This window comes from Homo sapiens, chromosome 16 (genome assembly GCF_000001405.40).
Source record: "Homo sapiens chromosome 16, GRCh38.p14 Primary Assembly".
Lineage (NCBI taxonomy): Eukaryota > Metazoa > Chordata > Mammalia > Primates > Hominidae > Homo > Homo sapiens.
Genome location: NC_000016.10, coordinates 21,196,835 through 21,221,665, shown reverse-complemented (window position 1 = coordinate 21,221,665; position 24,831 = coordinate 21,196,835). Strand labels below are relative to the sequence as shown.

The following is a 24,831-nucleotide window of genomic DNA, read 5'->3' as shown; positions in this document are numbered from 1 at the left end:
CTAGAAAAACATATATATGTATCTATATGCATGCATAAACATACACATACACATACCACTAATCTCTTACAATATTGACTTCTCTTGGTTCTTGAAACAACCTCAGCATAGGCAAACCCACATACCCATCTAGGATAAAGACAACCAAATGAGTATCCAGGTATTCTCCAACAAGAATCAAACAAGTAGAAGAAAACTGCAGAGCTCGAAGACAAGGCTTTTGAGTTAACCCAATCCAACAAAGACAAAGAAAAACGGATTTTAAAAATGAACAAAGTCTCCAAGAAGTTTGGGAGTATGTTAAATGACCAAACCTAAGAATAATTGGCATTCCTGAGGAAGAAGAGAAATCTAAAAGTTTGAAAAAGATATTTGAGGGAATAATTGAGGAAAACTTCCTTGGCCTTGTTAAAGATCTAGACATCCAAATACAAGAAGCTCAAAGAACACCCAGGAAATTCACCGTAAAAAGATTATCATGTAGGCACATAATGATCAAATTCAAGATGAAGGAAAGAATCTTAAGAGCTGTGAGGCAAAAGCATCAGGTAACCTATAAAGGAAAAACTATCAGATTAACAGCAGATTTCTCAGCAGAAACCCTACAGGCTAGAAGGGATTGGGGTCCTGTCTTTAGCCTTCTTAAACAAAATAATTATCAGCCAAGAATTTGGTATCCAGTGAAACTATGCTTCATAAATGAAGGAAAAACACAGTTTTTTTTCAAACAAATGCTGAGAGAATTTGCCACTACCAAGCCAGCACTACAAGAACTGCTAAAAGTAGCTCAAAATCTTGAAACAAATCTTCAAAATATACCAAAATAGAACCTCCTTAAGGCATTGTCTCACAGGACTTATAAAACAAAAACACAATGAAAAAAAAAACACAAGGTATTCAGGCAAAAACTAACACAACGAATAGAATAGTACTTCACTTCTCAATACTAACACTGAATGTAAATGGACTAAATGCTCTACTTAAAAGATATAGAATGGCAGAATGAATAAGAATTCAGCAACCAAGTATCTGCTGTCTTCAAGAGACTCATCTAACATGTAAGGACTCACATAAACTTAAAGTAAAGGGGTGAAAAAGGACATTCCATGCAAACGGACATCAAAAGTGAGCAGGAATAGCTATTCTTGTATCAGTCAAAACAGACGTTAAAGCAACAACAGTTAAAAAAGACAAAAAGGCAAGGTGTGGTGGCTCATGCCTATAATCCCAGCACTTTGGGAGGCTGGAGGGGGCAGATCACTTGAGGTCAGGAGTTCGAGACCAGCCTGGCCAACATGGTGAAACCCCATCTCTACTAAAAGTACAAAAATTAGCTGGGCGTGGTGGCACATGCCTATAATCCCAGATACTCAGGAGGCTGAGACCGGAGAATCTCTTGAACCTGGAAGACGGAGGTTGCCATGAGCCGAGATCACGCCATTGCACTCCAGCCTGGGCGACAGAGCAAGACTCCATCTCAAAAAAAAAAAAGACTTCTGGGCCTTCTGTCTTCCATATATTGATGCCGCCCTACCTTTATATTTATAGATCGATAAAGCTTTCATCCTAGTTCTTTCTGAATTTATTACTGTCAGAAGGCTCATTCAACTTGGATCTGTCTAAAGGACCCAAGGGGAAAACAACATTAACATTGTATATTAGATTGGTAAAGGAACTACCATATGATGTTCGAGAACATTCTCATTGACATAGTCTATCTTATTTTTCCAAGTTAAATTCATATTTGATATTTGAAAGCTATTTTGAGCTGCATTAGCATAACTGGGAGAAGTTTTTATATTATTTATCTTATACTGCTAAAATTCTAATTAATGTCATCTTGTACTTTTAAAAGACAAGTGAACTGCAAGAGAAGCACAGAGTTTTAAAACACCCCCGCATGCACAGACACACACACACAGCGAGAGAGAGAAAATTGAAATGAATTAGAAAGGGCAGGGAGAGGCATCAGGAGACCTGGTTTCTCACTGGAGCTCTATCTGCTACTAACTTGGTAAATGACCTGGAGCAAGTCACTAAACCTCTTTAGATATTAAACCTCTTAATATCTTCATTTTACCATAGGGAGTTGGACTTTGTTTCAAAGCCTCAAGTTCCGGATCCATTCATTTCGCCTTTTTACCTTTATACTACTGAGTTTTCATCCTTGAGCCTTAGACTCTGTAACTTAGGTAGCTCACTCAGAAATCAGTCAAAATTATTATTAAAAAAAATTTTTTTTTGTCCAGGCACGGTGGCTCACACTTGTAATCCCAGCACTTTGGGAGGCCAAGGCGGATGGATCACCTGAGGTCAAGAGTTCAGGACCAGCCTGGCCAACATGATGAAACCCCATCTCTACTAAAAATACAAAAAGTAGCCAGGTGTGGTGGCACACGCCTGTAGTCCCAGCTGCTGGGGAGGCTGAGTCATAAGAATAGCTTGAACCTGGGAGGCAGAGGTTGCAGGGAGCACAGATGGTACCACTGGACTCCAGCATGGGTGACAGAGTGAGACTCTGTCTCAAAAAACTAAAACTAACTAACTAAATAAATTTTTAAGAGACAGGGTCCTGCCATGCTGTCGAAGGTGGTTTTGAATTCCTGGCCTCAAGTTATCTTCTAGCCTCAGCCTCCCAAAGTGCTGGGATTATAGGCGTGAGCCACCATGCCCAGTCTATAATTATTTAATTGGTTATTTTATCACTAAAACAATTCAACCAAAACAGAGGGAATAAAGTTGTTGGAACCTCACCAATGCACCTTAATGTAGACTTTCTCATTGTCTGAACTAGTACCCTGGGTTCTTTGTCCTACCTCCTAGAAAATTAAGGAACATGGACACAAAGGTGGGTTGGAGTGAAAGTTTAATGAGGGAAAGAGGCCAGGTGTGGTGGCTCACACCTCTAATCCCACCAGTTTGAGAGGCCGAGGTGGGTGGATCACCTGAGGTCAGGAATTTGAGACCAGTCTGGCCAATATGATGAAACCCCATCTCTACTAAAAATACAAAATTAGCCGAGTGTGGTGGGGCATGCCTGTAATCCCAGTTACTTGGGAGGCTGAGGCAGGAGAATCTCTTGAATCCAGGAGGCAGAGTTTGCAGTGACCCGAGATCACACCATTGCACTCCAGCCTGGGCAACAAGAGCGAAACTCCGTCTCAAAAAAGAATAGTAATAAGTGAAAGAAAAAAATTCTCTGCAGCAGAGAGGGGAGTCCAAGTGGATTGCCAGGTTACAGCTGAATTCAAAAGCTTTTTTAAGAAACTCCTCTCTCATCTCTAGCAGTTTGAGTAACTTCTCATCAGTAAAGCTGTCTGTGCAACTCCCGGTATCTTACGCAACTGTGGGCATGTATCTAGGCAAGCACAAAGCCTGCGTCTCTTGTTTTGATAACTGCGGGTTTGTTTTAGGTAAGCCCCCCTCCTCCCTGTGTAAGTTCCCACCATGGATATGTCTGAAAAGGGGAGGAAACTTTTTCCTAGGAGCTCGCTAATTAGACAAAGTTGCTTATCTGTGTGCAGGTGCAGCCTGTTTATCCCAAATGATTTTTCCTTTTCTTCTCCCTCAAAGTCAGAAAGGCAGGAGTTACTTATTCTTTAAGGGCTGAAGGAAGAAAACTCCCACCTTTGCACTCTGAAAGTTCACTGAAAATAAACTGACCAAAGGCAGATGAATAAGAGAAAAATTCATACAAAATTATTAATGTGCAGGGGAAGGTGGGAATCACAGAGTAATTGCCCCTAAACCCTCAGTGGGGCACAGATGCATATATACGGTGGGTTTTCTTTTTTTTTTTTTTTTGAGATGGAGTCTTGCTCTGTTGCCCAGGCTGGAGTGTAGTGGTGCAATCTCGGCTCACTACAGCCTCTGCCCGCCGGGTTCAAGCGATTCTCCTGCCTCAGACTCCTGCGTAGCTGGGATTACAGGCACACACCACCATGCCTGGCTAATTTTTTATATTTTTAGTAGAGACAGGGTTTCGCCATGTTGGCCAGGCTGGTCTCAAACTCCTGACCTCAGGTGATCCACCTGCCTCGGCTTCCCAAAGTGCTGGGATTACAGGTGTGAGCCACCGTGCCTGGCTGTATATACAGTTTTTCATAGGGGAGGGAGGAGATGGGGACTGTAGACAATTCTCTTGAGGGGCAATAATGATTATCAGGGAGAATGAACAGACCAGGGAGAGAGAAATTAACTTGTACATAATTATCTTTGGAATTTGACTGAGCTTCAGAGGCTGACATTATCTTGTGGAAAAGTCTGTCCATGTGTGGTTACATTCCTTAGTCTCCTTTCCTGCTATAGATAATGAGATTTCAGGGAGGGGATAGAAGGCAATAGTGTTTCTTCTGTTAAGAAGCTGCCTTGGCTGGGCCCAGTGGCTCATGCCTGTAATCTCAGCACTTTGGGAGGCCAAGGCAGGTGGATCATTTGAGGTCAGGAGTTTGAGACCAGCCTGACCGTCATGGTGAAACCCTGTCTCTACTAAAAATACAAGAAAAAAAAAATAATTAGCCATGGTTGCTGGCGTGCACCTGTAATCCCAGCTACTTGAGAGGCTGAGGCAGGAGAATCACTTGAACCTGGGAGGTGGAGGTTGCAGTGAGCCCAGATCATGCCATTGCACTCCAGCCTGCGCAACAAGACCAAAGCCCTGCCAAAAAAAAAAAAAAAAAAAAGAAGGAGCTTTCTTTTTTTTTTCCCCAGAGAGAGTTCCTTCCTGTACTTTGGGGGTGGAAAGGGAACAAGGCAAGGATAGAGAGACCTTGATTCTGAGGCTTATTTCTGAAGCCTTTTAATTTTCCAAAGCACTTGGCATGCCCAGGCACATTTGGGGAATTGTTTTCTGTGCTCCAACCCTCCCATCTCCTTAATCCTATTCCCGGTGATGATATTCAATGTATTTAAAACCCATACAGCAAAAGCACGAACAAGTCAGAATAGACAATGGTCGCAAATGCCCAGCACAGCCACGTGGACTCCCCGGACCCTGGCAACCCTCTCCTTTCCTGGATGATGCTGTCGATTCTCTGGGACAACTTTCTTGACTTGTAATCCAAATACATATGTATAGACCCACATGCAGACACATAAAGTATAAATATACACATAAGTTTGAGAAAGAAAAGAAACTTTTTATCTGAAGAATGCAAGTCCCTTTAAATTATCAGGCCCAGAGAGGCATTGAAACGTGACAGCAGTCACACCTCACTCCCTCGGGCTCAGTAATTATCTCTTGGAGCTACTTGATATGTGGGCTCTAGACTGACACCAAGTAGCCATAAAATTAACCTAACTATGCCATACACTGGACATCATAACTCATACCATATGCTGGACGCCATTAATCATACCCTATAGTTCAACAATGTATAGCCAATCACTAATCAGTGTTTTTTTTTTTTTTTTGAGATGGGATCTTGCTATGCTGCCCAGACTGCCTTAAAAGTCCTGGGCTCAAGCTATCCTCCCACCTCAGCCTCCTGAGTCACTGTGACTACAGGTGTGAGCCACTGTACCCAGCTAATCAGTGTTATTTCTGTAAATCAATGAGTCAAGAAACACTGTATCAGCCACTAATCCCAGCACTTTGGGAGGCCAAGGTGGGCGGATCACGAGGTTAGGAGACCATTCTGGCTAACATGGTGAAACCCCGTCTCTACTAAAAATACAAAAAATTAGCCAGGAATGGTGGTGGGCGCCTGTAATCCCAGCACTTTGGGAGGCTGAGGCAGGTGGATCATGAGTTCAGGAGATCAAGACCATCCTGGCTAACACGGTGAAACCCCATCTCTACTAAAAATACAAAAAATTAGCTGGGCGTGGTGGTGGGCGCCTGTAGTCCCAGCTACTCGGGAGGCTGAGGCAGGAGAATAGCGTGAACCTGGGAGGCGGAGCTTGCAGTGAGCTGAGATCGTGCGACTGCACTCCAGTCTGGGCGACAGAGCAAGACTCTGTCTAAAAAAAACAAAAAACAAAACAAAAAAAACACCCACTTGTGACAAAAGTGGAGAACTCACCAAGGCAACTTGGAAGTGTTTCCTGGGCAGCTGTCCACACTTTGCCTCAAGTAAACTCTTTAAAACTATATTCTCTTCTCCTTCCTTTAGGTCGACAGGTTTTTCATTTTCCTATTAAAGCAAAACATGAAAGCATAGTAGATATATAGCCCTGAAATTCCAGTTTTATTGCAGACATCTTTCATGTCAGTACTCACAGATCTGAACGAACTCATAGAATCATTTGCAGTAGCTGAAGAGTATTCCATAGTTTATCCAACCATCTCTAGATGGTGATATTTAGGTTGTCTTTTATAAATACTTTTATAATTGTTGTGGAAAACAAGGGCAGCAGATTCAGAATTTAAGAATTATAAACTGTCATTTATAAGAACCACACTTCAGAAAGGAAGACATCTGCCCAAATGAGGCAACAACAAAACTATAGTCTTTCTTTTATGTATGAGAACCCCGTCAAGAAATGCCTTGTGATTAGCAAGAGAGAAATGGTTTCATGATACATAGAACCCAGGGCAGAGAAGAGGAGAAGGAACACCTTGTAATAATAAATCAGCAAACTTTAAGAGGTTCATTGAAAAGAGTGTGGAACACATATATTTGAACGAGGTCTGCTGTTTGTTTACTGCCTTTTTTTTTTTTTTTTTTTTGAGACAGAGTTTCACTCTTGTTGCCCAGGCTGGAGTGCAGTGGCACAATCTTGGCTCACTGCAACCTCTGCCTCCTGGGTTCAAGCGATTCTCCTGCCTCAGCCTCCCGAGTAGCAGGATTTACAGGTGTGTGCCGCCATGCCCAGCTAATATTTTTGGTAGAGACAGGGTTTCACCATGTTGGCTAGGCTGGTCTCAAACTCCTGACCTCTGGTGATCCACCCGCCTCAGCCTCCCAAAGTGCTGGGATTACAGGCGTGAGCCACTGCACCGGGCCTATTTAGCGCAATATTTTTTTAAATTTAATTTTAATTTCCAGGATACATGTACAGGACATGCAGCTTTGTTACATAGGTAAACGTGTGCCATGGTGGTTTGCTGCACCTATCAACCCATCACCTAGGTATTGAGCCCCGCATGCATTAGCTATTTATCTTGATGCTCTCCCTGCCCCCACCCCCCAACCCCTGTCACCAGGACCCAGTGTGTGATGTTCCCCTCCCTGTGTCCATGTGTTCTCATTGTTCAGCTCCCACTTATAAGTGAGAACAGAATGTTAAGAATCATTTTTGTAATAACTTTAGTTTTTCCTACCTCCTGATAGGAGACACTGTTTTACGGAGCAGCTATTTCTTCCTGTGTTCAAAGTCAGTTGCTGAACAGATGGTAGCTTCCTGCTTTTCCGGAGCAGAATCCTAGACATGGATGCTCCTGGGCCCAGAGCCATTTGTTCGGTGGCTGTCCCCAGCACACCACAGGTCTGGGTTAGGTGAGACAAACAAAATTAATCTCTGGTGCACATACCAGCTTCACCAGCCCACAGCGGGCTTTCTCACCACATCTCCTGCTTGGGGTCTCTGTGCTGCCCCTTAACCTTTTAGAAACCCCAAATTTGGGGGCTCTGACCAAAGCTGCCCTTTCCAAGGCAAAAACTTCCCGCTCTGGAGAAAGACACCATCTCGAGGGGAGTGAGTAGCGCGGTGGGAAGGGAGGTGGGGTCTGAGGGAGGCTGAATAAGCACATTAACCCATCACTTCTCTGACCACCTTCTCAATAGGGCTCTGAGTCTCACGTCTATGCTCCTTTTTCCTCTAATGTCTTATCATAGTCTTAACCATTGTGGCAATAAATTATATTTGTAGAAAAGGTGCCACTTTTCAGAAAAATATGCATAGAAGGAGAAACTATTGCTATCATGCTTTGGCTATAAAATGAAATCCTTTTACCATCTCTATCCCCAAAAACTTATCTGTATTTTGCTCCTTCTTCCCAATTCCGCTGGGATGTAATCTACTCAATTCCCGTAAGGAGGTTAACCACTGGCCACCACAGATTTTCTCGCCTCGCTCCCTCCAAGTATTTTCCAGGTTTTCCTGATTATAAGAATCACCTGTGGTGCTCGTTAAGTAAATATTTCCCAGGCACATCTTCTGGAGAGTCTAATTCAGCAGCTTTTGGGTGGGACCCTGGAATCTGTGATATTAATGAGAGCTCCATGTGATCCTTTTGATCAAGGAAGTCAGGGAAACAGTTAATCTCCAATGTTATTTCAGATGCCTCAGGTTACACCTCAAAGGCAACACATGAATCAATACAGTTTAGGATGATGCAAAAATAATTGCAGTTTTTGCCATTAAAATTAGTGGCAAAGGGCCGGGCACAGTGGCTCACGCCTGTAATCCCAGCACTTTGGGAGGCTGACACGGTTGGATCACTTGAGGCCAGGAGTTCGAGACCAGCCTGGCCAACATGGTGAAACCCTGTCTCTACCAAAAATACAAAAATTAGCTGGGCTTGGTGGTGGGCGCCTGTAATCCCAGCTACCCGGGAGGCTGAGGCAGGAGAATCGCTTGAATCCAGGAGGCAGAGGTTGCAGTGAGCCAAGATTGCGCCACTGCACTCCCACCTGGGCAACAGAGCAAGACTCCATCTCAAATACATACATACATACATAAAAGTAGCGGCAAAAACTGCAATCACTTTTGCACCAGCCTAATAATTGCAAGTGTCACCCACCACTTGAATGGAGTCTAAGCCTTATATCCACCTATTTTGGAACATGGGCTGCAGACATCTAGTTATCTCAAAGAGTGTGAGAGATGTTGAAAAAACACAACCATCAGGCCTCAGGAAATCTGAGTTCTCCACCTGGTCCCTGACATTGTTGGGGCAAGTTGCCTTGCCTCAGTTTCCCCACTGGGAAACTTCCAAGTGCTTTACAACAATATAACATTCTTATTAGATCACTACTCCCTTTTACCCAGAAGTTTTACTTTGAGGAATTTATCTTGAGGGTTACCCAAGGATATGTATCAGAATGCTCATCATGTTACTGCTTATAATGATGAAAAATTACAAGCCACCTTATGCTCATAATTAAGGAAATTATATAAACACAGATTTATCTCAAATTGAATATTATGCCACCCTAAAATGGTAACAGAGAGCTTTATGTTTAATAGTTATAAAGTGACAGTAGCAGATTACAAAACAGTATTTAAACTTTCCTCCCAGTGTTTTAAAAAAATTGTGTGTGGTGTTTGTAGAAACATGTCTAAAGTTACTCACCTAAATATTAGCAGTGGCACTATTATGAGTGACTTTTGCCTTTTCTCTGTATCCTTCTGAAATTGTATCTTTGCGGTAAGCTTAAGCTTTTACACTTGGGGGTCAACAAGGCTTCATTCATTTTTTTAAAGACACTTCCTGTGCATTATCAGGGTAACTTCTGCAGTAGCCAGAAGACTAGATGTTACTTAAAAGGTTTTAGGGTAGGTGCAATGGCTCACGCCTGTAATCCCAGCACTTTGGGAGGCCGAGGCACGTGGATCACCTAGGTCAGGAGTTCGAGACCACCCTGACCAACACGGTGAAACCCAATCTTTACTCAAAATACAAAAATTAGCCAGGTGTGGTGGCGTGCACCTGTAATCCCAGCTACTCAGGAGGCTGAGGCAGGAGAATTGCTTGAACCCAGGAGGCAGAGGTTGCAGTGAGCCGAGATTGCACCAGTGCACTCCAGCCTGGGTGACAGAGTGAAACTGAATCTCAAAAAAAAAAAAAAAATGTAGTGGTGTGAACAAGACTTGTTTTTTTCTCAATAAAGCCCATGATTCTCTTTGGCTCTACATTGCAGTTGTAAATAATTTGCCCAAAAGATCCTAATTTCCCCCATAGTTATAGGGAAAACACCAATTCACTCACCTGGAGCTGATTTCAGCAAACTCTGATTTCATGCCTGGCCCACAGGGCAGCTGGCAGAATACCCGGCGCAAGCTGTCAGGAATCAGAGGCCACTTCCTTCCCCAATCCTTCCGTTTCAGCTGGGAGAATGGGACAAGATTCAGGTGCCCCCAATGGGGAGAGGGTGTGGATGCGGCTGGCTTCCTGCTATAAAAACACAGAGCAGCCTACCCTCTACCTGGTTGATCTGGTAGTGTCTTCTGCTATGGCGTGCAGGCAGAGAGGAGGCTCTTGGAGTCCCTCAGGCTGGTTCAATGCAGGCTGGAGGTGAGTAATTCTGGAAGTGGAGGGAGGGGGTATGGTAGCTTTGTTTGTTAAAGTCCATTCTTCCTTGACTATCTCCCTGTCTCTTTCCAGCACCTACAGGTCGATTTCTCTCTTCTTCGCCCTTGTGACTTCAGGGAACTCCATAGATGTTTCTCAGTTGGTAAATCCTGCCTTTCCAGGTATGTCTCTTGGGTGACAGAAGTCTTCTTAGCAGAGAAAACAGGTTGCAGCTGGAAGGCCTAGCTGGCCAAGAAACACAGGCCTGGCTCAGACAACCTCCATTCACCCCCTTTATTACCTTGGTCAGGTTACTGGATCTTTCTTCTGCTAACCTGTAGACTCACTATACCTGCTAAATGAAAACTCAAACACTTGCACTGCCTTCCAATCCCTCACTGCCTCAAGCTTTATGGTATCCACAGAACAGCAAACCACCACACTAAGCCCTCATCTTTAGGAGCAGCAATCTTCAAACACAAACTCATGCTTAAGGAAAACATCGACATAACAAGCAAAACTGGAGCTGCTCACTTGACGTTCACCTGAGCCAGAGGCTGCAGAGTAGCAGATGATGGGCAAAACTTGATCTTTAAAAAAAAAAAAAAAAATGCAGCCAGGCGCCGGGGCTCACGCCTGTAATCCCAGAACTTTGGGAAGCCAAGGCGGGCAGATCACCTGAGCTCAGGAGTTTGAGACCAGCCTGGCCAATGTGGTGAAACCCCATCTCTACCAAAAATACAAAAACTAGCTGGGTGTGGTGGTGGGCACATGTAATCCCAGCTACTTGGGAGGCTGAGGCAGGAGAATCGCTTGAACCTGGGAGGCGGAGGTTGAGGTGGGTTGAGATCGTGCCACTGCACTCCAGCCTGGGTGACAGAGAGACTCCGTCTCAAAATAAATAAATAAATAAATAAAAGTCCTGGGACTTACCCAGGACTTTGTTTAACATCAATTTGCAAAACCTGTTGACAAAGCTTTTGTCAGTTTTTCGGGCCTGCCTCCATCTGCTCCACTGTCAAGGTGTTGACCTGGCTCCTACAGACCTGCTTGTCAACCCTAACCTGGGCTTCTTACTGGAACACTTCAAAAGCCCTGGGTACCTGATATTTTCCTTACAGTTCTTGGCATATTGTATTGTTGTCTTGGTCACTTGTTTGTGAGCTCTCCCAGGGTAGGGGACGATTCTTGCCTCCCTCATCTGGAATCCCTCCCATCTGAGAGGAGTCTATACACTTTTGTAGGAGTTGCATCACTCATGACTCAAAGCCCCCAAATGCTTCCTTTGCTCCTTAGGCACTGTCACTTGCGATGAAAGGGAAATAACAGTGGAGTTCCCAAGCAGTCCTGGCACCAAGAAATGGCATGCATCTGTGGTGGGTAGGTAACGTGTGTTATCTCCTCATAGTCCTGATTAGCAGACAGCCTTTGGCTTAGGTCAATCCTGTTTGGGGAGCAGAGTACCCAAACTCCTGCAGCAACGGCATCCAACTCCCATGATGCCATGGGGATACCTGATTTGCATGAAGCCACCCAGCATGGAAGACCTGTCTGTCTTCGAAAGTGTGTCTTATGCCAGCATCTCTGGGAAGCCTCTGGCTGCAAGTCATACCATCTCAAAGCTCAAGTTCTATCACTGAGTTGGGGCGGAAGTGAAGGGACTGAAGTACCTTAGAAATGGACTGGTGGTCTTGACTCTATAGCTTTGGACTGTCACTGAAATGTACTCAGCCATCCTGTCTAACCTGCTCTGGCCTTGGCAGATCCTCTTGGTCTCGACATGCCGAACTGCACTTACATCCTGGACCCAGAAAAGCTCACCCTGAGGGCTACCTATGATAACTGTACCAGGAGAGTGGTAAGTCATTGCTTTGAGCAGTTCTTGGGGAAGTACGTAGTAACCTAAGAGTTACTGGCAGTAAACTTGGCTAAGAACTTTCTCTTTGGAGTAAAGCAGTGGCTCTCAACCAAGGGGGTGGTGTCTCGTGTGTGGCTCTTCTTTTCTATTATAATCTGTCTAGGCCAGGTGTGATGGCTCACGCCTATAATCTCTGCACTTTAGGAGGCTGAGACGGGTGGATCACCTGAGGTCAGAAGTTTGAGACCAGCCTGGCCAACATGGTGAAACCCCATCCCTACTAAAAATACAAAAAACTAGCTGGGTGTGGTAGCACACACCTGTAATCCCAGCTACTTGTGAGGCTGAGGCAGGAGAATCGCTTAAACCCAGGGGACAGAGGTTTGCAGTGAGCTGAGATTGCTCCATTGCCCTCCAGCCTGGGCAACAAGAGCAAAACTGTCTGGAGGAGGGTGGGGGGAATCTGTCCAGGGGACATTTGACAACATCTAGAAACATCTTTGGTTATCACAACTGAAGGTAGAAGAGCTACTACTGGCATCTAATGGATACAAGCCAAAGATGCTGGCAGACAACCAACATTACCCAAGTCTCCTCCCCATAACACAGAATTACCAGGACTGAGATGTCAGTGTTGAGGATGAGAAACCCTGGCATTCAAGTACTTGAGCCCTTGAGCCCTGGCTCTACCACTAATCAGGTGTAATTTCCACCAAGTGAGCCCTTTCAAGCCTGTTTGCCCATTAGAAGATGAGAGTAATGGTGCCTGCTCCATGGGGGTAATGAAGACTAATGATGTTCTACAGATTAAGACCTGGTGCAGAACCTGGATACAACAAGTGATGAAACACGAGCTATTTTGATCTGTGAACCCCAACATGAGATGGAAGGCTATTTTGGTGCTAGCAAATAGAAATCTGACCTATAGAAACAGGTGTTAAAAGGCAAACAGCAGCTAAGCAGTAAGGGTTTTTCTATTGCCAAGCAACAGTATTGCCCAATCAGGAATATTAGGAGCAATAAAAGCAACCTGTCTAAGCAGAAGCTAGCAAGTTGTAATTTGGAAAGTTTGGGTTTGACTAGTTGGACATAGGCCTGGGGTGAGTTCTGGGAATCTGCATATCTAACAGTCTATACCATCTGATTACGATGCAGGTGGTCAGCAGTCTAAGCTTTGTACAGATACAGTCTTAGACCCTACTCTGTAAACAGGCTTGAACTGTAAGTCATCTGGTCCCCTAAAGCCCTCTGTGATCAATCAATGAAGTAATCATAGGTCCTTCATGAAAAACCTGATAATTTCCTTCTAAAACAGACCTTCTCAACATTAGAGGTCTTGGAGTCGCATTCCCTTAGACTAAGGGTCTGCAAGCCATAACCTGTGGATGGCCAAACGCAGTCCATGGTCTCTTTCTGAGGCAGGCTTGCTCTGTAGCCCAGGCTGGAAAGTAGTGGCTGCAATCATGGCTCACTGCAGCCTAGAACTGCTGGGCTCAAGGGATTCTCCCGTCTCAGCCTCCCAACTAGTTGGGGCTACAGGCATGCAACACTATGCCTGTCTAATCTTTGTCTTGTCAAAATGGGGATTTCACCATGTTGTCCAGGCTGGCCTCAAACTTCTGGCCTCAAGGGATCCTCCCACCTCAGCCTTCCAAAGCACTGGGATTATAGGCATGAACCACTGTGCCTAGTTCATGGGTTTTTTTTGTGTTTTTGTTTGTTTTTGTTTTGGTTTGGTTTTCAAACTAAGAATGGGTTTTATCTTCTTAATCTTCTTGAGACAGGGTCTTGCTGTTGTCCAGGCTGGCATGCAGTGGCATAATCTCGGCTCACTGCAACCTCTACCTCCCGGACTCAAGCAATCCCCTACCCTATGTCTCAGTACCACCTCAGCCTGCCCAGTAGCTGAGACCACAGGCATATACCACCACACCCAGCTAACTTTTGTGGTGTGTGTGTGTGTGTGTGTGTGTGTGTGTGTGTGTGTGTGTGTGTTTAATATATATATAGAGATGGAGTCTCTCACCATGTTGCACAGGCTGGTCTTGAACTCCTGAGCTCAAGCAGTCAGTCTGCCTCAGCCTCCCAAAGTGCTGGAGTTACAGGCAATGAGCCACCATGCCCAGCTGGCTTTTATCTTTTTAAAGTTCTTTTAAGGAAATATGCTATGGATTTCATGTGGCTCACATGAGTCTAAAACAGTTGCTAATGCATAATGGAAAAAGGTTGGCTGACCCCTGCTTTTAGACTGAGTTTCCTAAGGTCAGGGGTAATAGCAAGGGTAGCTCTACCCAGCACAATGGCAGCTACTTAGGTGCTTAACAAGTATTCAGATAACCTGGGTAGAAGCCCCATACCAACCCCATTCAGCCAGGACCATGGTACTGAGACATAGGGTACACATAAGAGAAATAGAAACTGAACTCCATTTCCTGATGCTAAAACTGGCCTATCAGCATGAGTCTTCACTAACAGATTACAATGGGCTAGCTAGTCTCCTGGTACGGGAATGAGGTACCTTCCAGCACTTGTGGTATTAGTAACTTTAAGGGTTTTCCCACTCAGATGGGTCAGATGGTATTCTAGAATCCCATGGGGGTACAGTACTTACTCTGTTCCCACTGTGCTATCTGTACACAGCATGGTGGACACCAGATGACCATCAGAGTCATGAACAACAGTGCTGCCTTAAGACACGGAGCTGTCATGTATCAGTTCTTCTGTCCAGCTATGCAAGTAGAAGAGACCCAGGGGCTTTCAGCATCTACAATCTGCCAGAAGGATTTCATGTCTGTGAGTGAAACGGGCTGACTGCTCGGGGTATATGGCTACTGCAGGGGGAATATGATGATGATCTAACCAGGGCGGGGCTTAGAAATCAGACCATGATTTAATCCTGTACTTGCTAATTTTCTGTGTGATGAGGTTTAACTTTACCCTGAGGCTTTGTTTCCAAGTCCAAAGTGATGGGACAATAATGCTTACCTCAGGGTGGCTCTAAGAATTTACTGAGGGTATATACATGGTACTTGGCACATCATGCATGGCAATAGGGTTTTATTGGTAGTTGCACTCACACTAATCATCTGACAAATGGAATACATGCCATGTTCCAGGCCCTACCCTAGATGCTAAGATACAATAAGTGAACAAAACGACCCAGTCACATCTTCATGGGTTTAGAGTCTAACATGGCTAATGTCAACAATGGACAACTAAAAATAACACTGACATAAAAGCAACTCAATAACAATGATAGAACTGCATGGCTTTTACATAGTACCTGATTTCTATGGACATTGGTGAAAGGGCAAACGTTTAAGAACATTGTCCTGGTCAGGCATGGTGGCTCATGCCTGTAATCCCAGCAATTTGGGAGGCTGAGGTAGGTGGATCACCTGAGGTCAGGAGTTTGAGACCAGCCTGACCAACATGGTGAAAACCCATCTCTACTAAATACAAAAAACTAGCCGGGTATGGTAGTACATTCCTGTAATCCCAGCTACTTGGGAGGCTGGGGCAGGAGAATCGCTTGAACCCAGGAGACGGAGGTTGCAGGGAGCCGAGATTGCACCATTGCACTCCAGCCTGGGCGATGAGCGAAACTCTATCTTGGGGGGAGAAATGTGTCCCAACTTACAACTGGAAAGGAGCTTAGATCTTCCAGCTGCCTCTTGGGATCAGAAGTTCAAAGAAGTATAATGACATCTAAGGGCACAGTCAGGGTTCATGTGCTTCTTCCACTGCATCCCACAGCAGGCCTTTTGGTATGACAACCACACAGCAATTTCTGGCATGAATTCGGAAACATCTACCTCCAAATCAAAGTCTTACATCACAATTCTTTTCTTCCAGTTTTCCTTGCCACGGGTCTTCTCTGGCTTGGCTGACGACAGTAAGGTATGAAGCAAATTTTAAAAATCAGACCTTAATAACCTTTAATTCTATGTTAAAGGTGATATTACCTTTAACCTGATAAATTGTTAGACTACCAGAGACTTGGTTAAGGGAGCACCAGCCCTCTAAACAAAGCTTTTTGACTTCAGGGGACCAAAGTTCAGATGGGATGGAGCATTGAGGTTGGTGATGGTGCAAGAGCCAAAACTCTGACCCTGCCAGAGGCCATGAAGGAAGGCTTCAGCCTCTTGATTGACAACCACAGGATGACCTTCCATGTGCCATTCAATGCCACTGGAGTGACTCACTATGTGGTAGGTGTGGAAGTCTGGCTTTGTACCACCAAAGCACAGGCCAGTATTCCTAAATTGAAGCATGATCTCAACCATGTCTTCACATTAATTTATAATACAACCCATTTTAATGCCTATTAAGTGCCAAACACTTCGCTGGGTATTCACACCTGTAATCCCAGCACTTTGGAAGGCTGAAGCGGGCAGATCGCTTGAGGTCAGGAGTTCAAGACCAGCCCGGCCAACCCTGTCTGTTTAGTGAAACCCTGTCTCTACTAAAAACACAAAAACTTAACTGGGTGAGATGGTACATGCCTATAATCCCAACTACTCAGGAGGCTGAGGTGGGAGAATCGCTTGAACCCAGGAGGTAGAAGTTGCAGTGAGCCGAGATTGTACCACTGCACTCCAGCCTGGGCGACAGAGCGAGACCATTTCTCAAAAATACATAATCCTTACCTCAATCTAGTCTCTTTCCCATAGTCTTAAATCTATAGTACAACACAGAACAAGCATATTCCTGAAAGCTTTATGGGTTAAGGGGTTCTGTTTGGGTTGTCATTGTCCTATATTGTTTTATAGCAAGTATTGGTGCTTTCCAGGCCAATAGTCTGAACACTGCACTAAATGAATTAATCTCCTAAAGTACTTAGGACAGGTCCTGAGATGTAAGTGCTCAAATGCCAACCACTTCAAGAACAGTCCTATCTCCCAGTAAGAACACAAATGGATTGAGGCTTGAAAACATTGTCTGGCTGCTGATACTTTAAAATAGTCATATGGGGTAAGGACAGATCTTATCTGCCTAGAAGTCATTGGCTACAGGTGATCTAGACAACATTCTTCCAGATGTTAGAACAAGGTTAAAACTAATATACCTCCAGATTAGACAAATTAGTCATTAGACAAATGCTTAAATCCTACTTGTGTCAAAGTAGTGCCCATTACTTGGATATATACTTGCCAAGATGATTCTTACTGGTTAGAGATTCAAGTAACCAATGTTTTTGAAGATCACTGTTATTTCTCCCCCTAGCAAGGTAACAGTCATCTCTACATGGTGTCTCTGAAGCTTACATTTATATCTCCTGGACAGAAGGTGATCTTCTCTTCACAAGCTATTTGTGCACCAGGTAAGGTCCCAGATAGCTGCAACCTCAGTGTGGGAGACATTGTCCTAGAAGCTTAATCAAGGCTGGTAATGGGCATTCTGTTGTCATTCCTTCTAGATCCTGTGACCTGCAATGCCACACACATGACTCTCACCATACCAGAGTTTCCTGGGAAGCTTAAGTCTGTGAGCTTTGAAAACCAGAACATTGATGTGAGCCAGCTGCATGACAATGGAATTGATCTAGAAGCAACAAATGGCATGAAATTGCATTTCAGCAAAACTCTGCTCAAAACGAAAGTATGTTCAATTGTCAACCACTGAACTCCACCGGGTCCTGACTTGAAGTATACTCTTGTGGGTAGTCCTCATACGGCTGATAACTTGCCCGTGAGCTCTAATTGCCAACATAACAGATTCAAACTCCAAAAGGCCTCATTTGATCATCTTGTATAAGTGAAATATCAAGTAACTAAAGTTCATTCTCTAACACAAAACCTCTTTAACTTCTGTCATGAAAAATCGTCTAAGTCTTTCTAAGTCTTAAAACTGTCTAAGGCCCCAACTGAGTAGTAGCAACTACTTGTCAAATACCTAATGATGAATCTGTCCTGGTCAACGAACAGGACACCTTGATCTAAACAAAAGGGTCCCGTACTGTTGCTGTTGAGGTTAGTCTTCACTAGAACTGCCAGGGATACCAGAGAATAATCTTAGGTTGGGGGTACATATTATGCAATACCATTTTATAACATCTGTAGAGTCCTTTTGACTCAGACCTGGCTTGGCAGAGGATTCCACTATTCTTTGGAATTTGATCTGCTAATTCAAGCTTTAGTGCCTCGTACAAAGAGTACAGTGCTGGGTACTCCAGGGCATGAGTTTAAAGCAATAAATCTGCCTGGGGATACATCCAGATCTGAGGAAGTGATAGGGTCTCTCTTGTTTTGGTTTAAAGGGAGCCCAGATAAGTCTGGAGTGTGTCCTGCAAGTATTTAGTGGACTTGCTTCCTGCCTCCCTGTGACGGTTCCGGGCCCCAACGGACTGTGGCTGCTAATTGACATTTTCTCATTTCAGTTATCTGAAAAATGCCTACTCCATCAGTTCTACTTAGCTTCACTCAAGCTGACCTTTCTCCTTCGGCCAGAGACAGTATCCATGGTGATCTATCCTGAGTGTCTCTGTGAGTCACCCGTTTCTATAGGTAAAGACCTTTTATTAAAATCATGTTCTACCTTTTTTCTCCCTTGGCTCTTGTACATGTGGGCAAATGTATAGAAGGTCAGATTCTGATCTATTGCTTATAGACTGAAGAAACTAAAGACTAGTCAGATTAGAAACAGTGTAGCTGCTACGATGGGGTCCTAAGTATGATATTTTTAAGATCCCTACATAGGTAGGTTTTATGGCAACTGCTCCATGGTTAAACAATCTAGATATTTTGGCTTAGGAGCCTGAACCTGACATCTAGGTAAGAATATTCAAACTTCTAATTAGAATTAAGTTTAAGTACCCCCCCACCCCAAAATTCCTACAAATTCTTAAATAGAGTGAATATCTCTTGTTTAGCATTGCCTCCACCATGTGCTTCTGTTTAATGTGATCTGCACAGGTCAGATCAAATAGGAAAACCAGCTCCTGCCTCAGTTTCTCCCCAAACTACTCAGGATTTGTGAGTATACAAAGAAAGGATACAATAACATAGGCGCTGTACTTAAAGCCACATTAAGTTTAACCTTGAGTCAACTCCTGCCCTTCATCAGGATTCTCACTGGTCTTATACCATATAGCACTTCTTCCTACATCTACTGGTCCCTCCTTTGGATGAAAAGTCCTACTCTCACATAGAACAATCAACTAACTTCAGCTCCCTTTGTAATTCAAGCTGCTGATCAAGGTTCCCTCATAAAGACTTCAAGACAGATTCTGATGCCTCCTGCTAAATTAGAATTTCTCCCTCGTAGCATATCAGGTTGGGAGATGACAGTATCACAGGGCAGACAAACTTATTTTCTCTAAACTTTCACCGCTGTCTAGTTACAGGGGAGCTGTGCACCCAGGATGGGTTTATGGACGTCGAGGTCTACAGCTACCAAACACAACCAGCTCTTGACCTGGGTACTCTGAGGGTGGGAAACTCATCCTGCCAGCCTGTCTTTGAGGCTCAGTCTCAGGGGCTGGTACGGTTCCACATACCCCTGAATGGATGTGGAACGAGATATAAGGTTAGTACTGGCAGATGGCACGAGGTTAAGTCTCATCTTTGACATAACTGGCTGCTAACCCACTTTCTCTGACATTTAAGTTCGAAGATGATAAAGTCGTCTATGAAAACGAAATACATGCTCTCTGGACGGATTTTCCTCCAAGCAAAATATCTAGAGACAGTGAGTTCAGGTGAGATAAAATTGCTATTTGACTCTTAAGCTCTAGTTTAAACTCAAGCAATTTTTTAACCTGAAATTTTCTGTACCTACCTTCCCTCCAAACTCTTACAGAATGACAGTGAAGTGTTCTTATAGCAGGAATGACATGCTACTAAACATCAACGTTGAAAGCCTTACTCCTCCAGTGGCCTCAGTGAAGTTGGGTCCATTTACCTTGATCCTGCAAAGCTACCCAGGTAAGAGATTGCAGTCTGTGAAATTGCTTAAATGATCTCAAACTTCTCCCTAAAATGAACATCCTGATACTGCCAGACTAATGGAGCAGTGATGACCTATGAATCTGTGTTGCAGCCATTAACTACTTGAATACCATTCAATTTCAGATAATTCCTACCAACAACCTTATGGGGAAAACGAGTACCCTCTAGTGAGATTCCTCCGCCAACCAATTTACATGGAAGTGAGAGTCCTAAACAGGGATGACCCCAACATCAAGCTGGTCTTAGATGACTGCTGGGCGACGTCCACCATGGATCCAGACTCTTTCCCCCAGTGGAACGTTGTCGTGGATGGGTAGGTACTCCCTGTACTATCAGGTTACCCAGCTAATCCATCAAAACTTGCCAGTAATGGGAATAAACCCTCTTGGGCTTTAGAGCAGCATTCAGTCATGTGAGATCCAGATTTAGTCCTTGTTTTCTAATTGGGACTCTTCTGCCTTCTGTTTTTTTTTTTTTTGTTTTGAGATGGGGTCTCATTCTGTCACCCAGGTTGGGGTGCTGCGGCATGATCTTAGCTCACTGTAGCCCCTGCCTCCTGGGTTCAAGCAATTCTCCTACCTCAGCCTCCTGGGTAGCTGAGATTACAGGGGCACACCACCAAGCCCAGCTAATTTTTGCTATCTTAGTAGAGACAGGGTTTTGCCATGTTGGCCAGGCTGGTCTCGAACTCCTGACTTCAGGTGATCCACCTACCTTGGCCTCCCAAAGTACTGGGATTACAGGTGTGAACCACCACACTTGGCCACATGCTGCCTTCCAATCACCTCTTGAATCTTAAGGAATGAGTTCCAAAGCCCCAGAAAGTCTGACTCTACTATGGTGTTGATCATCTGGAAAGACTGGTCTCTAGCCTCTATCCATCTGAACACCTACCATATGCCAGGCACAGTGCTATGTATTCCACATCCACTAGTTGTACTAGTCTTCGTCTTTCATGAAGAAACCCCAGCTTGCTGCCTAAATAACCAGCCCAAAACAATACTTAAACAATGGAGCTTGTATTAGAATATCCATCTGACTCTAGAATCTGAGCACTGATGCTCTGAGGTTGCAGCCACACACTTGTACACATAGGTGTTCAACCTTACAGCTCTCCTGCCGTGTCCTGTCCTACAACTGGATCTCACCCATTCTTATGGAATAGTGTGTACTTGGCTAAAACTGCACCTTTGCTTTCTTGAAGCTGTGGTAGCTCAGTTACTAAGCCTTCTGTTTTGTTTTTGAGACGAGGTCTCACTCTTGTCCCCCAGGCTGGAGTGCAATGGCACAATCTCAGCTCACTGCAACCTCCGCCTCCCAGATTCAAGCGATTCACCTGCCTTAGCCTCCCAAGTAGCTGGGACTACAGGTGCCTGCCACCATGCCCAGCTAATTTTTATATCTTTAGTAGAAACGGGGTTTCACCATGTTGGCCAGGCTGGTCTTAGACTCCTGACCTCAGGTGATCTGCCCACCTCAGCCTCCCACAGTTCTGGGATTACAGGTGTGAGCTACTGCACCTGGCCAAGAAACCAGTGTCTTCTGAAATGATATAATTTGTACTTCTCATGTAGTTGGCAAACAGGTACTGCTAAAATAGTTAAAATATAACTAGTCTATACAACTTATGATTTCATAGGTATTATAGGTCAGGTAAGAAATGCTGAGTAAAACAAAGGTGCTGGTAGAAGGTAAATATGGCAATAGTTCTGAAGATATTACGTATGACTAAATCTGGGCAGACATTGAATTTGACTCCAAGATGCATATGACTGACATCCCTCCCTGGTGCATACCTCCTAGCTGTGCATATGACCTGGACAACTACCAGACCACCTTCCATCCAGTCGGCTCCTCTGTGACCCATCCTGATCACTATCAGAGGTTTGACATGAAGGCTTTTGCCTTTGTATCAGAAGCCCACGTGCTCTCTAGCCTGGTAAGTGATTCAGAAGTCACCAGGGACAGGTTAAATGTTAGTGCATCGATTCCATGTAACTCTCTTCTGTCTCCAGGTCTACTTCCACTGCAGTGCCTTAATCTGTAATCGACTCTCCCCTGACTCCCCACTGTGTTCTGTGACCTGCCCTGTGTCCTCTAGGCACAGGCGAGGTAAAAACTTCAAATTCCTGTTTCTGTGAGTCTAATTCAAAGCAAGTATCAACTTTTTAGAATAGAAGATCTTAAGGACTGGTATAACTCATACTTTATTTACTGCCCAGAGCTCTTGTTGGCCCAGTCAAAACTTGGTCCAGTCTACCTTACTCATGTGACAGGTCTAAGATGAACAGTTTCTTGTCTAGTTCTATAGACGATGAGTTCTTTAAGAATCTATCCTTTTTTTTTTTTTTTTTTTTTTTTTTGAGACAGTTTTGCTCTTGTTGCCCAGGCTGGAGTAAGATGGTGTGATCTTGGCTCATTCCACCTCCAGGGTTCAAGGGAAATGATTCTCCTGCCTGAGCCTCCCAAGTAGCTGGGATTATAGGAACCCCCCCAACATACCCAGCTAACTTTTATATCTTTAGTAGAGACAGGGTTTCACCATGTTGGCCAGGCCAGGCTGGTCTCAATCTCCTGACCTCAGGTGATCCACCTACCTCGGCCTCCCAAAAGTGCTGGGATTATAGGCATGAGCCACCACACCCAACCCCAAGAATCCATCCCACTTCTACAGTAAAGGGCATAACCTCGCCTGCAAAGGCAAGACAAACCACATGAACAAAATACTCCAGAGAGCTTCTACTTCTAAGCATTCCATTGACACACCTCTCGAACCACTATTCCAGAGGCCAAACACAAACTTGATCATCTGTCTCCAGCCACAGGGGCCACTGAAGCAGAGAAAATGACAGTCAGCCTCCCAGGACCCATTCTCCTGTTGTCAGATGACTCCTCATTCAGAGGTATGGACCTAAAGCCTGGAGTACTTCCTGGATTCAAGTTCTTAGCTTTTTATGCCAAGCGGTCAGTGCTTACATATACTATGTACCCGTGGTGAGTCTAAACAATAGAAGAATAAAAGACTAAGTCTCTTCCCAGAAGTAGGCTTCTATTAAGTCTCCTGTGTACCCTTCTAGAAATCACTTCAACACAAGTAGGATCATAGCTTCTACCTACTGATCTAGAACTTGGTCTCTAATCTGTCTTATCTACCTTATATCTGTACAAAGAACCCTTAGGATTCCACGTGGCTCTACCTTAGTCATGATCCTCATTCATGGATATCTATAGGTTTATTTCTAGTTTTGTCCTCAGTCCATACTAGAATCCTTCTTTTTTTCTTTTTGAGATAAAGTTTTGTTCTTGTCACCCAGGCTGGAGTACAATGGTGTGATCTTGGCTCACTGCAACCTCTGCCTCCCAGGTTCAAGTGATTCTCCTGCCTCAGCCTCCCGAGTATCAGGGATTACAGGCACCTGCCACTGTGCCCAGCTAATTTTATTATTTTTAGTAGAGAAAAGGTTTTACCATGTTGGCCAGGCTGGTCTCAAACTCCTGACCTCAAGTGATCCGCCTGCCTCAGCCTCCCAAAGTGCTGGGATTACAGGTGTGAGCCACCACACCCGGCCACAAAAAAAAAAAAAAAAAATCCTCTTGAATTTCTTGTATAGTAGTCAAAGATTTAAGATATGTTTCTAGCAAGATTAGGTCAGAGCATGTGCATCTTAACATGCTATGGCCAAACTTAAGTGTGTATTAGTTTGTGCCTGTTAACACATACCCTTACCTGAGATAGCCTTAATGAACAACCTGTGGGATCACACCCTCAGGGGACAGCTAACCACATCGACTAGCATGAAGATGTTGTACTAAACTCTCAGGTTCTTCCCAGGTGTCGGCTCATCTGATCTAAAAGCAAGTGGGAGCAGTGGGGAGAAGAGTAGGAGTGAAACAGGGGAGGAGGTTGGCTCACGAGGTAAGTTTATTCAATGTTGCAAACTTCTGAAATAAGCCTGTTGAAGGCTTAGTTTTACCCCCTTCTCTGGGGAGCCTTATGTAAGGCTTCCACTTACCCTTATTTAAAAATACTTAAGACTCAAATGTCTGCTTCCTTTGTAGGTGCTATGGACACCAAAGGGCACAAGACTGCTGGAGATGTTGGTTCCAAAGCTGTGGCTGCTGTGGCTGCCTTTGCAGGTGTGGTGGCAACTCTAGGCTTCATCTACTACCTGTACGAGAAAAGGACTGTGTCAAATCACTAAATGGGCTTCTAAATAAAGCAGTCAAAATAAGCCTCTTGCCTTCCACATTCTTATTAAGATTAGATGACAAGGGATCATTTCTTTTGTTCCTCAGTGTAGAGGCAGTACCTAGCCACAATCCTCTGGGCAGGATTTGTATATAGATACAAATAGGGAAGTTCATGGTATAATTGTTTCCTGTCATTTGGCCCCTTCTGATCCTCTAACCCCAATACATGAGTCCTCTGACACTCCCAGTCAACAGTAGGGCTTTAGCTATAGCCCAGCTCTGGGGGTACACTTGAGTCTACAAGCTCTTACACAGGATAAGAAGCCAGCAAGCTACCCATGATCACTGGCATAAATCCAACCCCCCTTCTTTTAAGGGAAGGGAAACCAGATGTTCCTAAGAAAGTAATATAAGAACTTACTTCAAGGTAATTCCTAACTCAAGTTACACTCAAGCTTACAACTTTCCTGAGCTTAAAAGGACTTAGTTACCTTCCCACTTATAACTAAAGACAAGCAATCTTTCTTTGGTAGGGAAAGGAATACTAAAGTGCCAGAGTCCTAAGGCTCAGTTATAACATTCCAAGAATCAGACTCCACCATTCAACTGAGCCTAGAGTGAGTTTTCCATTACCTGCATTCGATCTTGACCGTCTC

General features: G+C 44.3%; 1 protein-coding gene across 5 annotated transcripts; it reads left to right on the top strand.

The window, feature by feature from the left end:
* The first annotated feature begins 7,155 nt into the window (after nucleotides 1-7,155).
* Nucleotides 7,156-24,216, top strand: ZP2 (zona pellucida glycoprotein 2). Of its 5 annotated transcripts, NM_003460.2 has the most exons (20): nucleotides 7,156-7,439; nucleotides 9,920-10,180; nucleotides 10,271-10,359; nucleotides 11,474-11,557; nucleotides 11,941-12,035; nucleotides 14,676-14,828; nucleotides 15,891-15,935; nucleotides 16,082-16,246; nucleotides 17,262-17,358; nucleotides 17,455-17,636; nucleotides 18,415-18,541; nucleotides 19,375-19,562; nucleotides 19,643-19,734; nucleotides 19,836-19,960; nucleotides 20,108-20,297; nucleotides 21,788-21,923; nucleotides 22,000-22,096; nucleotides 22,804-22,887; nucleotides 23,817-23,900; nucleotides 24,044-24,214. In NM_003460.2, the coding sequence occupies exons 2-20, from the start codon at nucleotides 10,119-10,121 to the stop codon at nucleotides 24,184-24,186; spliced, it is 2,238 nt and encodes a 745-aa protein (NP_003451.1). In that variant the 5' UTR covers nucleotides 7,156-7,439; nucleotides 9,920-10,118; the 3' UTR covers nucleotides 24,187-24,214. The 5 variants fall into 5 exon arrangements, 4 of the variants coding, with proteins under 4 accessions (NP_003451.1, NP_001363160.1, NP_001363161.1 ...); NM_001376231.1 differs by lacking the exon at nucleotides 7,156-7,439 and having other exon boundaries at nucleotides 10,092-10,180; nucleotides 19,863-19,960; nucleotides 24,044-24,216; NM_001376232.1 differs by lacking the exon at nucleotides 7,156-7,439 and having other exon boundaries at nucleotides 10,092-10,180; nucleotides 24,044-24,216.
* The last annotated feature ends 615 nt before the right edge of the window (nucleotides 24,217-24,831 follow it).

Bases quoted from the DNA above. Each gene is read 5' to 3' on its own strand.
- ZP2 (NM_001376233.1), top strand. From the start codon at position 10,119: ATGGCGTGCAGGCAGAGAGGAGGCTCTTGGAGTCCCTCAGGCTGGTTC. The intron at 15,936-16,081 runs GTATGAAGCAAA...TTTTGACTTCAG, and splicing joins GCTTGGCTGACGACAGTAAG to GGGACCAAAGTTCAGATGGG. The intron at 16,247-17,261 runs GTAGGTGTGGAA...TTCTCCCCCTAG, and splicing joins CTGGAGTGACTCACTATGTG to CAAGGTAACAGTCATCTCTA.